This window comes from Homo sapiens, chromosome 9 (genome assembly GCF_000001405.40).
Source record: "Homo sapiens chromosome 9, GRCh38.p14 Primary Assembly".
Lineage (NCBI taxonomy): Eukaryota > Metazoa > Chordata > Mammalia > Primates > Hominidae > Homo > Homo sapiens.
In genome coordinates, this window is record NC_000009.12 from 16,807,976 (window position 1) to 16,822,508 (window position 14,533).

At 42.4% G+C, this 14,533-nt stretch overlaps 1 protein-coding gene across 28 annotated transcripts in view, besides 3 other annotated features; it reads right to left on the reverse strand.

The window, feature by feature from the left end:
- BNC2 (basonuclin zinc finger protein 2) overlaps positions 1 to 14,533 on the reverse strand; it is a 461,168-nt gene that overhangs the window by 398,473 nt on the left and 48,162 nt on the right. The gene's annotated exons all lie outside the window — the stretch shown is intronic.
- Positions 1,016 to 1,310: an enhancer, noted in NCBI's record as "tiled region #8712; K562 Activating non-DNase unmatched - State 24:Quies". NCBI's record gives its function as "activates a minimal TATA promoter and a strong SV40 promoter by Sharpr-MPRA in K562 cells {active_cell/tissue: K562}" and the evidence as "EXISTENCE:reporter gene assay evidence [ECO:0000049][PMID:27701403]".
- Positions 2,013 to 2,540: an enhancer, noted in NCBI's record as "OCT4-NANOG-H3K27ac hESC enhancer chr9:16809986-16810513 (GRCh37/hg19 assembly coordinates)". NCBI's record gives its function as "activates a minimal SCP1, AML or CMV promoter by ChIP-STARR-seq in primed H9 embryonic stem cells {active_cell/tissue: H9 hESC(primed)}" and the evidence as "EXISTENCE:reporter gene assay evidence [ECO:0000049][PMID:30033119]".
- Positions 2,541 to 3,069: an enhancer, noted in NCBI's record as "OCT4-NANOG-H3K27ac-H3K4me1 hESC enhancer chr9:16810514-16811042 (GRCh37/hg19 assembly coordinates)". NCBI's record gives its function as "activates a minimal SCP1, AML or CMV promoter by ChIP-STARR-seq in primed H9 embryonic stem cells {active_cell/tissue: H9 hESC(primed)}" and the evidence as "EXISTENCE:reporter gene assay evidence [ECO:0000049][PMID:30033119]".

The following is a 14,533-nucleotide window of genomic DNA, read 5'->3' on the forward strand; positions in this document are numbered from 1 at the left end:
TAACTTTCTGAGCTTAAGTTTCCTTGTCTGTAAAATAAGAATAATAATACATGGCACAGAACCTGGCAAAAAGGAGGTGGGCCATATATGTTAATTATATGAGTATTAAAAATGTGTAACTCACCTATTTAAAGAATAACAAAATTTCAGAGTATGTTTCTGATAGCTACAAGTGTTAGACGTATTTCAATATTCAACCTTAAAATTTTTTAAACACAGGAAGAATAAATGAACAATAAGAAATACACACTAATAGAATACTGACAGCAAATTATCTTTTGTTAGGCTAATTACCCACCATTTTCATTATTATTCTCTCGGTTTATTTCATTAAAATTTATTTGACAAACAGCAGAGCCTAGAATCCTGTGCTATTCCCATTAGAAGGATCCCTCAAATTAAAAGTTAGAGGTAGAGGCTAACAGCTGTCAGGCCCTGGAATCACACCAACCTGAGCCCCAGGCCTGAATCTATCAATATCCTAGTTGTGTGATCTTGGGCAACTTTTTTTTTTTTTTTTTTTTTTTTTTTGAGACAGAGTCTCATTCTGTCACCATGGCTGTACTGCAGTGGTGTGACCACGGCTCACTGGAGCCTCAACTTCCCAGGCTCAAGTGATCCTCCCACCTCGGCCTCCTGAGTAACTGGGACTACAGGCGTATGTGACCACAACTGACCAATGTTTTTTTGTAGAGATGGGGTTTTGCTATGTTGCCCAAGCTTTTTTTTTTATTTCAACTTCAATTTTCCTATTTATAAAATAGAAAAAAATAAGAGTAGCTACAATAAAGATCTAAAACCTGGGTAGCAAAATAAACACTGTAAGGTCTGTGAATTGCTTTGAGGCCCAGAGACTCTGAAAGCAACTAGCCCAAGGCAAGCAAGCTGGTGACTGGGACAGGAAAAGAACATAAATCTCCTACTTCCCAGACCAAAAAACAGAGGTACTAATGTACTTGGCTGTCCCCTAAAGAAGAGAGCTCCACCTCCTCTTTCACCAGCCATACTGAGAAGAGAGGCTCATCTCTGCCATCTGACAACAGCTCATTCACAGACTTGGAACCAGGCACAACACTGGTTCCCAGGCAACTTCTTAGATACCAGAATTGTTTCATATCAAATTCTAAAGTAGATCAGTTGTTTCGGCTGAGGCTTAAATGGCCTGGGTCTAAGTGCCCTTTGTCAGAACAAGGGCCTTGTCTCAGCGCTGCATGTGATGGGAGCTGCCGCTAGAGGAAGAACTGTTGACAATGAGATAAGAGCCAAAAACAAGCCCCCTCCTGGATCACTCTCTGATGACCTTTTCAGTGGTCTACAGTGTGTTATCACTCAACACATTAGGGCTAGGAGAGATTTGAAAACATCAGAAAGCTCAATTTTTTTTTATGGAAAAAAAAATGCCTTCGATTGCAGAAATCCAATAACTTCAGTGTTAGGATAAGAGCCCTGGGATGAGGAGCAAGAACTCTCTCGGTCCAGTTTTTGCTTCTGTCACAGACTTATGCAAATAAATATGTGATACTTTTATTTCCACACCAGCTTTCAATAGGTCAAACGAGGGTGTACCTGCTGAATTCCCTTCCTAAAAACTCAATGCACAGCAATTCAGGAGTCTCCTGAACCAAGACCGAATGCGTTGTAATGTACTGAGTATTAGCTGGGTGTGGTGGCGCGTGCCTGTAGTCCCAGCTACTCGGGAGGCTGAGGCAGCAGGATTGCTTGAACTCTGCAAGCAGAGGATGCAGTGAGCTGAGAGCACACCACTGCACTCCAGCCTGGCGACAGTGCAAGACTCTGTCTCAAAAACACAAAAAAAGAAAACAGTGTGCCCAGAACAAGAAGCCACATCTTCTGACTCAAAATTCTGAGTTCTTTCTATATGATAAAGGAATAAAATTTGAATGGCTGAATAAGAATGTATTATTTAAATTGTATAAAAAGATGCTTCATCTTTCCTAATCAATGCTTTGATGGCCATGGTCCATTGATGGTCCTGATGAGTAAGAGGCTTCTCTGCCTCCCCTCTAGGATGATAAAATGCAAAGGTATGATTAAAGAAGCTCTTTAGTCTTTTTCTGCCCCCTGCCTACTGACCCATCTCAATTAATGACAGTACTTAAAAATCTGTAATGCAAATGTAAAGCCACTAAGGTAACTTATGGTTAAAAACTTGCTTTGCTTTATAAAAAGAATATCATTATAATATGAATTGTCCCTGACCTGTCTACTAGGGCCCACTGTTATGCAATCCATAGGACAGGCTTAGTGTAGTCTTCCACAAGACAGCATATTTTCTCCCCGTTCATTTACCTTGGCAGGGGTGGGGCTAGAAGCTGAGGTGAGACACAAGACAGGCATTCACTCTGCCTTTGTCTTCAGCCTTGCAAAACCAAGGAGTCGTGAAAAGACCAGTCCTCACCTGGATACCCACAGCCTAAATAGGGGCTACAGGCTAGGCGTCCCACAGAGCTGTTTGTTTACCTCATGTGAATGACAATGACAATGAGTCTGTGAAACCAGATGCTGCCGCTGCAGGCCAGGAGTTAAGCAGTGATGCACATTCATGGGGAAGGCCCTGGCAAGCAGACCCTGCAGCCAAATCCCAAGCACTGCTTCTCAAACTGCAGGTCACAGGCATTGGTGGATGGTGAAAATCATTTTAGTGGCTCTTAACCATTTGTGCTTAAATGAAACTGAACAAAATGCATCACACATAGTAAGGATAAGTTCATGCACATGTCTATGTCAAAAATGCTTAAAGCCAGTGATCCAAAGAGAAAAGCCGCTAGCCAGATACCCTACCTCAGAGTTCCATGGGAATGTAGACAAGGTGTTGCTAGACCCTCCAGTTGCTAGATCATCCTTCTCTTTTTCAAGAGAAACCAGAACTCTGAGCTGTCATATGAAATCTCCCCAAATTTTTTTTAAAAGGGGCTCGAACTCTTTTAAAACAGTGTACAGGGGCCAGCGCAGTGGCTCACGCCTGTAATCCCAGCAATTTGGGAGGCTGAGGCGGGCAGATCTCAAGGTCAGGAGATCAAGACCATCCTGGCTAACACAGTGAAACCCCGTCTCTACTAAAAATACAAAAAATTAGCCAGGCATGGTGGCGGGCGCCTGTAGTCCCAGCTACTCTGGGACTGAGGCTGAGGCAGGAGAATGGCATGAACCCGGGAGGCGGAGCTTGCAGTGAGCCAAGATCGTGCCACTGCACTCCAGCCTGGGCAACAGAGCGAGACTTCGTCTCAAAAGACCAAAAAAAAAAAAAACCAAAAAAACCACAGTGTATAGGGGGCCAGGCACGGTGGCTCACGCCTGTAATCCCAGAACTTTGGGAGGCCAACGCGGGTGGATCATGTGAGGTCAGGAGTTCAAGACAAGCCTGGCCAACATGGTGAAACCCCATCTCTACTAAAAATACCAAAAATTGGCCAGGCATAGTGGCGGGCACCTGTAATGCCAGCTACTCAGGAGGCTGAGGCAGGAGAATCACTTGAACCAGGGAGACGGAGGTTGCGGTGAGCCGAGATCGAGCCATTGCACTCCAGCCTGGGCAACAAGAGTGAAACTCCATCTCAAAAAAAAAAAAAAAAAAAAAAACAGTGTACAGGGAAAATCAAACCCATGTGAAGGCTAGACATGGACTGACTATTCAGTACATATGTAAACAGAAATGAGGCAGCAGAACTGCTCTTAAGAAAGGAGTGCAAACCTTTCTGCAAAATGTCCCTGGGAAGCTATGCATGTGGAGGCACTCCAAAAACGCATTTGCCAAGACAACACTAGTGTTGAAAGGAAAAGAAGAGCCCCTAGTGAATGGCCTTAGTGAAGGGGGCAAAGCAGTAAAACATTGGTGGGCCTGATGGTTTCTACAAAGCTGTCTTGAGTTGGGTTAGATGATGCAGCGGAGGTCTCAAACAGAAATCTACCTTGACCTTCCCTTCAGAGGTATACATACCTGATTTCTTTAGGGAGGTGTGAAAAAGAATTAATCAGAAGTCATCTCTGAGTGCTACTGCAGAAAGAGCTCTGCCTGCCCACAAGGTTTTCCAGCCTTAACTGCTTCCAGAGTTCTGCTGATCAGCTGCAGGGGAATGAAGCAGGGACTGGCAGGGAAGGAACCCTTCAACTGGGTTCACCTTTTGCTACCTGCCTGGCTACAGAACTAAGACTGAAGAGGGCACAGATCCTCAGTCTCTGGGTTTCTGAAGTGAAACCTGCCTGGCAGGCAAAGCTCTGGCTTGATGTAAGGGCTCTGGGCTTGGAGGTTGGTGGTGCTTGCGCTGGGGCTTCTTCACCTCTCCATCCCAAGAAAAAGATTCACAAAACCAGGGAATATTATCCACCAGCAGTCCCATCTGCCTATGTTAAAACACTTGGGAGTCTTCTGTGCAAATGTGGGGGCTCCCAGCCTGAGAGCTGGTCTCGTATCAAAAAGAAAGCAAGGCCAGACGCCAGCTCCAAACCCATCTGTTCCCCAAGCTCGAGGTGCAGGTGTGAGATCATCCCCACAAACCTCACCTGCCTGCAGTTTGTCACCTCGTGTCATTACCACAGGCAGAGATGCAATTGAGGCTTTTGTTTTACTTCACACCAGGGGGAAGTCATTTTTGGAGTGTTTCATCTTAAACAGTTTTTTCTTAAATGTGTGTGACACATATTCCTCATAGGACTTAATAAAATAGATATTTCTCATGCCTGGAAAGTAAACTACAGCTGCACAGGTTGAAACAAAATTTATTTTTAAAAACTAACATTCCAGTTGGATTCATTCAAAATACGTTTAGCTATAACTTCTGAAAAATGTTAAGCAACAAAAATAAAATAAAAATAAAACTGCTAATTAACAGGACAAAAACAATACTAACAAAACACACACTTAGTAGTATATTTTAGTGTCTCTGGTTACCTCAAGAAAAACAATATAAATTTTCAAAATAGAAAAATTCCTGGCCGGGCGCGGTGGCTCACGTCTGTAATCCCAGCACTTTAGGAGGCCGAGGTGGGCGGATTACCTGAGGTCAAGAGTTGGAGACCAGCCTGGCCAACATGGTGAAACCCTGTCTCTACTAAAAATACAAAAATTAGCCGGGCGTGGTGACGCCCCAGCTACTTGGAAGGCTGAGGCAGGAGAATCACTGGAACCCTGTAGGCCGAGGTTGCAGTGAGCTGAGATGGCGCCACTGCACTCCAGCCTCGGACAGAGCGAGACTCCGTCTCAAAAAGAAGAAAAACTCCTAAAGGTCTATATACCCACAACATTACCATAACGGAAGCAAGCAGAAAAACCATTTTTTTTTTTTGTTTTGAGACGGAGTCTGGCTCTGTCGCCCAGGCTGGAGTGCAGTGGTGCGATCTCGGCTCACTGCAAGCTCCACCTCCCGGGTTCACGCCATTCTCCTGCCTCAGCCTCCCGAGTAGCTGGGACTACAGGCGCCCGCCACTACGCCCGGCTAATTTTTTGTATTTTTAGTAGAGACGGGGTTTCACCGTGTTAGCCAGGATGGACTCGATCGCCTGACCTCATGATCCGCCCACCTCAGCCTCCCAAAGTGCCGGGATTACAGGCGTGAGCCACCGCGCCCAGCCAAAAAACCATTATTTTTAGAGTCTTAAAAATCTATCCTGAACCTGACATTTCTGTGAGAATGGAAAGAGGGGATGAATAATCATAACTACAAAGCTTCTAGCTGCAATTACAATGATTCATTATAAATACAAATAAAGCAAACTCATTTTCTTGCAAGAGCTTTGGTTGAATTGTAGAAGAGGAGGTATTCTTAATGTGACCTCAATGCAAAGAACATAGGTTTTTCACTTGGTTGGTTTTTTGTTTTTTTGTTTTTGTTTTATATATATCAAACATGTTCCCCACCCAGTAAGTGTCCAGCAGAAATAAAAGCAATGGGAATATGGTTTTCATGACATTCTCAGATGACTTCCAAGATCTTGTCACAATCGAGACTGTTAAAATGACAACTAATCTCTGAGACTCCATAACCTCCCCAGACACGGTGTACTAAAAGGATTTGGCTTGTCTCGTCTGTCCTGATTATGCAATATATGCTAGAAGCAGAAGAATGGTGACACGGACCACTGGGCTGTGGACAATGTTTTCTGGCCCTACTTGTTTCATCTCCTCATCTACTATTTTGTAGGTTGCTCTGACACTTGCAGTAAGATGAAGGTGGACATAACTCCAGGCAAGAGCAATGATAAATGTTTTTGCCTTGTCTATAAGGTAAAGAATACAGGAGGGTACATATTTATATAGTTGGTGGGCCAGCACGTGAGTGCACACAGGGACACACACATACACACACACTCTCCCTTTCATATATCTAGGCACTCAATATGTCTTTATTGGCATAGATATATAGATATGTTTAGCTTTATACAACAGACGTTTTCCTTCAGGTTGTGATCAGTATTTTGCAACTCAAATATTCAAAGGGCCTAGAGAAGCCTTACTATTTAAAAGAAATTTTACTCCTTTCATAAACCACTATTTGCTAATATAGGTAATTACCCCTAAATTATCCAAGTTTGTATTTATATATTCAGAAATGCATGCAAACCCAAACAAAGAGATCACAGTTAAACTACCTTTGGAAGTGTCCTCAGTAACATTTCACCTTATGGGTAAACAGATGACCACCACTAAATGGCAATGTTTGAGATAACAGATATCAGCTAGATACTGTTCAAACAACAAAAAATGGCTCAAGGATTACTGTTGGGAAGAGAAGCAGGGAAATTCAACATAATGTGCCAAATGCCACACCCACCAAATATCTAGGGGGGCTCCTATACATTATGGTGATTCTACCTCTCAAAGACATACCAAGATAAATCACATCTGTCCATTGGGATTGACAAGTGCTTTTTTCTTCCCTATTAGTTCTAAGACACTCAAGAGAGATAATGTTATTCACTTTACCTTATGATCTCCAAGGAAACAAACACTTCAGATGATTATCTCTAACTTGCCACCCCCAAACCCTCAAAGTATAAATATTCAGTGTAAGGAATAAGCTACCATGAAAAGAAATTATAAGGAAGACCCTAGGAAATTATATAATAATGATATATAATCAGCAAGACTTACACTCGTTTGACCAGCCTTTGAAAAGCAGCTGCCCAAATTAAAGGACTTAATTAAGAAGTGTAGAATAAAGCACTCCAAAAGCAAAGTCAAGGAGATAGAGGAAAAGAGCCCTGCATTGTGTTGAAAGAACAGCTAAACTAGATTAAGTACAGCTGGAGTGTAGGGTAAACATAGATCAGATATGGTAAGCTGTCTAAGGACCATGGCATGGAAAACTCAAACGCTGTGCAAAGTTTGAAAAGATTAGTAGCATGATCAAAACTGAGCTTTAGGTAAAATCTCCCTGGCAGCAACAGGAAGGATGGACAGCAGTAGGAGAGATTAGATATGGAATGTTTGTAAGGATACTACTATTCAAAGAGTTGAGGCAGGCAACTGCAATGGTCACAGTCAACTTTAATATAGCAGGTAAGAATGAGGGTATATAGATGCAGAATCCCTAAGATCTGGGATCTAAAGATAAGTCAATGATGATAGAGTTCAGCCTTTGGTGATGAGTGGCGGATCCATTAACATAAATTTTGGACATAACACAATCCAACTAATACTCTGGTTAACCATAATAGGGAAGAGGTTATTTCCCCCTTTCTTTTTAGCCTAAACTTCCTGCTATATCTGTGCTTCCCACATCAAGATTTGTACTACTATTTATTGGCTTTCTATCAGGTTCTGACTTTGAAGAACTCTTCTCCTACCAAGTAAATAGTTAGTGGTTAGCAAAAACTGGTAAGGGGCATTATCTTTCAAGTAAGACAGAGTAACTATGCCTTACATTCTTCGACACAAAGATGGAACAATCTCAAATTTGGATTTCTAGCACAGCTGAATAATGCTCTGTAAGGAATAAACTACCAGCCATGCCTAAAATATTGGTCTTTTGCTTGAAGTTCTTCATGTTTTAACTGGAAAGTTAAAAACAATTTCCCAACTGCCTATTTGCCCCTTGTGTTTATTTATTATTTTTCATGTTTAATTAAAAAACACTTCTACTTTAAGCAAACATTTCCCTTTTTTCCCTTTAATTACCTGACAAACGGTAGCAGAGCTGCATAAATTTTGCCTGAGGTTAAAGCTGGAGTAAAGCCTAATCACTAGCTTGAGACATTGTTCTGGCCAAGTAAAGCAGAACACATTTATCCCCCGTGTTTGGACAATACTTAGGCACTTCCATTAAGACCTCTTTTTAACCAGTGTTGATTCTGATGAACCCTCTTTCCTGATTTATGTGGGAAATCTGAGTGTTCTTCACACCACCACTTCAAGATGAAGGAAACGAAGCTCAATGCAGGGGCATGTAGGTGTGCACGCTCTCTTCAGTAGAGAATACAAACACAGGCCAGTTCTGCGCTGTTAAATACCAAGCTGGGCAGCCTTCCCTTGACTGAACTGAGTTTGTTCTAGACAAACCTCCAAATTTTTCTGCTGCCTTCCATAAAAAAGATATACAAAGTATAACAATGACAGCAGATTTTAAAAAGTCAAGGGAAAACAAGGATAGGTGAAATAAATGGCAAATCTAATATTAAAGCAATTAGAAATATAATCTAAGAAAAACTGGGAAATCACGGCACTTGTTAAAAAATTAATCTCAAGGGCAAACAGGACACAATACACACACACAAACATGGATAACGTGTGCTTTTTCTTTTTTCCTTAAGAGGCCCTACTCCAAACTGGGAGGCTCAGGCCCAAGTATGTAGTCTTACATGTGCGGTCTAAAGATGCTCAAAGCACTTTTCTTATCCTATAATTCAATCTAGTAATAAAAAGTATGGTGCTCTGGAAGAGTGAATTTAAGGCAGCTGGTAGGTTTCACTGGAATCAAGTGATCTCATCTGCCAGCCATCTAGGACTCCCCAAAGTTTAGAAGGACTTTTGTGTCACTGGCCATCTCTCTCCAGCAACTGACAAAGAAAAAGAAAGTGGAGAGGGTGAAGAGGCAGCCGCCTTTCCATTTAGGAAAACCTTCCTGCATTCCAGCTCACTTTTCCATCTAAAATATCAAAATTACATAGGCAGAACACTCTGATTCCAACTTAAAAATCTCTTTGACTTGAGTAGCTGGAAGGGATCTCAGGTAACAAACACCCTTACTCAGGTAGCCATTTGCATACACACACAAGAGACTGGTGTAGATTTGTGCTGTAAGGAATAAGAGGATCTAGAAACACTGCTGCCTGAACCATTAATGTTCTCCTCTCCTCGCAAAGTAATGTCCCACCCTTTTTAGAGGCAACAGGCTGCCATTTGAGGACAACTTTGTAAAATCTAAAGGTGATAATGATGATGATCATGATGGCAATTAAAAATAGTAACAGCAATTAATCATTTCTTATACTGCTATGGATGTCTGGAAAATATAAGGGTCTAGAGTCAGAAAGATCCCAATTCAAATTCAAACATCTTGGACAATCTGTTTAAACTGAGTTCCCATTTCTTCATTCAAAAAATAAAAAAGGTGAAGAGGCATAAACCCACAAGGCTGATGTGGAGATAAACTGAGCAGTATTGATGAAAGCATCTGGCACACTGAAGGTGTTTCTCAAATACTCCTTCATTCCTCTCCCTTGCCAGAGTATGGTTTAACGTGCCTTAAACAAATCAGAAAGAACTAGGCCAGCAACAGAAGTAGATCCAGGATTTACAGCTTTTGCTCATACTGGAGACTTTTAGTCACTCAATAAGCATTTACTGAGTTTTCAGTGTGTGCCAGGCACTGCTTGGGACACTTGGCATATATTTTCTTTAATGTCTGCCGTCTTGAAATTTGATTTACTTTTATGTTTTAGGGTCAGGGATTGAAAGCAAATTTTCTCAAAAAGGAAGCAATATGACAATGTACTCATCTCATTCATTTGATGCAAGCATGGTTCATAAGCATTGTTTGTGTTGTTAGTCTAATGCCAAGCTAAAATGTCATAGAAAAGGCAGGACTGGGGAAGAGGCTGGAGATGGACCAAAATTAATACAATGTGAAATTGCAAGCAAAAATGGCAAGCCTGCAACTGCAACTATAAAATAAAAATTAAAAAAAATTTAGGCCGGGCACGGTGGCTCACGCCTGTAATCCCAGCACTTTGGGAGGCGGAGGTGGGCAGATCACGAGGTCAGGAAATCAAGACCATCCTGGGTAACACGGTGAAACCCCGTCTCTACTAAAAATACAAAAAATTAGCCGGGCGAGTTGGCGGGCGCCTGTAGTCCCAGCTACTTGGGAGGCTGAGGCAGGAGAATGGCGTGAACCTTGGAGGCGGAGCTTGTAGTGAGCCGACATGGCGCCACTGCACTCCAGCCTGGGCAACAAAGCGAGACTCCGTCTCAAAAAAAAATTAAACCCAAAAACGAAGGGAAGGGAGAGAGAACCGGTTTGGAAGTTTAAAGAGAATACCAAAATGGAAGTCCACAATGAGCTGCATGAGCTTAAGTGTCTCTAGAGATGACATTTCGATCACAGGCAAGGAGCTCATGATTCATAATAAATGGTCAAAAAGTGATGGCCATTATTATGGTGATTATTACTGTGTCTTTTATCTGAGTCTCAGTTTTCTCAAGCATCAAAAAAGTTCAGACTAGATCTATGAATTTTAATGGAGAAGAGTCTGAACTAGTTTTTACTGTTGTTGTTTTGAGATGAGGTCTCACTAAGTTGCCCAGGCTGGTCTCAAACTCCTGGAATCAAGTGAGCCTCCCACCTCAACCACCCAAGTAGCTGAGGTTACAGGCACGTGCCACAGTGCCTGGAATGAATTTTTAAAAAAAATTCATTTAAAGGAGTGAGGCATTTTTTAAAGCGGTTAAGAAGTACTTTAGCTAGAGAATACTGCAGATCTCTTCCATTTCTTACATCCTATCTTAACAATATACTCTGGCTTCACTGGACCTCAGAACCTTGGCAATAAAAAAAAGTCCCTTCATCTCTTATCCCCATCAGAAAATCAAACAAGTAATCTAACAAAAATTAGTGAACAAAAGAGGGACATTGCATGAACCAATGACAAAACTGAGTCATGAATTAAGAAGTGAGGTGAAGTCAACCCTCTGCATCTGTATTTAAACAAACAAACAAAACCTATAAGCTGTCTGTACAACAAACGGTCAAAGAAAAAAGCAAATAGTAGAGATGGTATTTGACAGATTTTATTAATTCAGGTATAAGATTATGGTGTATCCATTTCTATTTAAAAAATACTAGTTGGAAATGTGTCATCGTTTTTAATAAAGTCTACCATAGCAGCAGAAATGATGCCCTAATGTCAGCAAGCATAAAAGGAATCATTAATAAGAAATATGCAGTCCAGGCTGGGCACAATGGCTCATGCCTGTAATCCCAGCACACTGGAAGGCCAAGCTGGGTGGATCACCTGAGGTCTGGAGTTCGAGACCAGCCTGGCCAACATGGTGAAACCACGTCTCTACTAAAAATACAAAAATTAGCCAGGTGTGGTGGTGTGTGCCTGTAATTCCAGCTACTCAGGAGGCAGCAGAATCACTTCAACCCAGGAGGTGGAGGTTGCAGTGAGCTGAGATCATGCCACTGCACTCCAGACTGGGTGACAGAGCAAGATTCCTTCTCAAAAAAAAAGAAATATGCAGTCCAAACCAATATCCACAGAAATTCAAAAGATCATATACTATTAAGACTACCTTTATGTTTCATGCCAGTAGGTACCCATACCAAGCACTCTGAAAATATCATCTCATTTAATTTCCACAACTCTGTGAGATATGTATTTTTTTTTTATCTCTAAAAATGGCAATAGGCCAGGTGTAGTGGCTCATGCCTACAATTCCAGTACTCTGGGAGGGCAAGGCAGGAGGATCACTTCAGGTCAGGAGTTCAAGTCCAGCCTGGCCAACATGGTGAAACCCCAGCTCTACTAAAAATACAAAAATTAGCTAGGCGTGATGGTGGGTGCCTGTAATCCCAGCTACTCAGGAGGCTGAGGCAGGAGAATCGCTTGTGCCCAGGAGGCAGAGGCTGCAGTGAGCCGAGATCATGCCACTGCACTCTAGCCTGGGCAACAGAGTGAGACTGTCTCAAAAAAAAAAAAAAAAAAAAGGGCTGGGCGTGGTCGCTCACATCTGTAATCTCAGCACTTTGGGAGGCCGAGGCAGGTGGATCACCTAAGGTCAGAAGTTCAAGACCACCCTGGTCAACATGGTGAAACCCCGTCTCTACCAAATATACAAAAATTAGCTGGGCGTGGTGGCAGGTGCCTGTAATCCCAGCTACTCAGGAGGCTGAGGCAGAAGAATCTCTTGAACCAAGGAGGCAGAGGTTGCAGTGAGCCGAGATCGCACCATTGCGCTCCAGCCTGGGCAACAAGAGCAAAATTTCGTTCCAAAAAAAAAAAGCAATAATAAGGCCCAGAGAAGTAAAAGGTTTTGCCAAAGGTTATATTGCTAGGAAGCAGAAGAACCAAGATTCAAATGATAGGTTTATTCAGCTCCACAACCAGGCTTAAATAACTATGCCTTTCCTCTCATTAAAAGCCACCAGGAAAAGGTACTTCCCAAGTGGGAAGCTTGTTACTCTCAGAGCATGTCATATTTTATTCCATACTGATGATATCTGAATATTAAGACTCAGTAAGGTTACTACGGTCCTAGAGGAAAAATATTTCTCACAAATAGAGATCATGTTATATAAACAAGTGGTCTTTTTTGAAGTTGACAAACAACTGTTCAACATTAAAATGAAACAGGCCAAGTGTATAAAGGGAAAAAAAAAAAACACTAAAAGTTTAAAGTGGATTAGTATTCAATTAATGAATCTGAAAATCAAACAGCAATGGGAAAACCCCTAACCAGGGCAATGATGGCTTAAAAGGATTCAAGTAGGCCAGGCGCAGTGTAATCCCAGAACTTTGGGAGGCCGAGGCAGGAGCACTGTAATCCCAGAACGTTGGGAGGCCGAGGCGGGTGGATCACTTGAGGCCAGGAATTCGAGACCAGCCTGGCCAACATGGTGAAACCCCATCTCTACTAAAAATACAAAAATTAGCCAGGTGTGGTGGCACGCACCTGTAATCCCAGCTACTCGGGAGGCTGAGGCAGGAGAATCACTTCAACCCAGGAGGCGGAGGTTGCAGTGAGCCAAGATCACGCCATTGCAATACGGCCTGGGCAACAAGAACAAAACTCCGTCTCAAAAAAAAAAAAAGAAAAAAAAAGGATTCAAGGAGGAAATAGAATGATAAAGTGATAAACAGCAACAGGGTCTGCAGGCCTCTGAAATTTTGATATTACTTTTATACTCTAGATCCTGTTGTTCTTGGAGTGGCAGGATGACTACAGTTATTTGTTTGCTTTAATAACTTAATAATGCTTACCTTTTATCTACAGAGAAAAAAAAATTATTTCCAATGCAAGGCAATGATCCAGAAGCTATTGGCTTCTTGAATGAAAATTAACTTTCTTTTGTACAGATTTTATATGACTATAAAACATGCCCTGGCAGTCAGTGTCTTAGCTACCTCCACAAGAGTGGACAGTGTAAACAGCAAGAGGTTACAACATATCAGGCTAAACTGTAGAAGTTGCAAGGAGCTTGGGAAAGAGTATTATAATTAAGAAGAACCCAGCAGGGCGTGGTGGCTCATGCCTGTAATCCCAGCACTTTGGGGAGGCTGAGGCAGATGGATCATTTGAGGTCAGGAGTTCAAGACCAGCTGGGCCAACATGGTGAAACCTCATCTCTACTAAAAATACAAAAATTAGCCAGGTGGGGCTGGGCACGGTGGGTAATGCCTGTAATCCCAGCATTCTGGAAGGCCAAGGCGGACGGATCACGAGGTCAGGAGATCGAGACCATCCTGGCTAACACGGTGAAACCCTGTCTCTACTAAAAATACAAAAAGTTAGCCAGGTGCGGTGGCGGGCGCCTGGAGTCCCAGCTACTCGGGAGGCTGAAGCAGGAGAATGGCATGAACCCGGAAAGCGGAGCCTGCAGTGAGCCGAGATCGCGCCACTGCACTCCACCCTGGGCGACAGAGCCAGACTCCATCTCAAAAAAAAAAAAAAAAAAAAAAAAAGCTGGGGTAGTAGTGACATGCCCGTAATCCCAGCTACTCAGGAAGCTGAGGCAGGAGAATTGTTTGAGCCTGGGAGGCGCAGGCTGCGGGGAGGAAGAGGTTATAACAACAGTAATTATTAAGTATTGTACCCTCCTCTACTATATATTAGGCTTCATACTAGACTCTGTTTTCTAACATTACCTCCTATTACCCTAATACATACCTAAAATAGGCCTTTCTTTTTAAATAGAAGAAATCAAGACACAGAAGTTAAGAGACTTGCCCACGGTCAGAGATCAGTTATTCAAATCCAAGTGAGTCTAGATGCAAAAACGCAGCCTTTTAAACTCTCAGTGGTATTTAAAGTAGGGTTAGTACAGCCATCTAGAGTGAACTAGTTAGTTTCCCC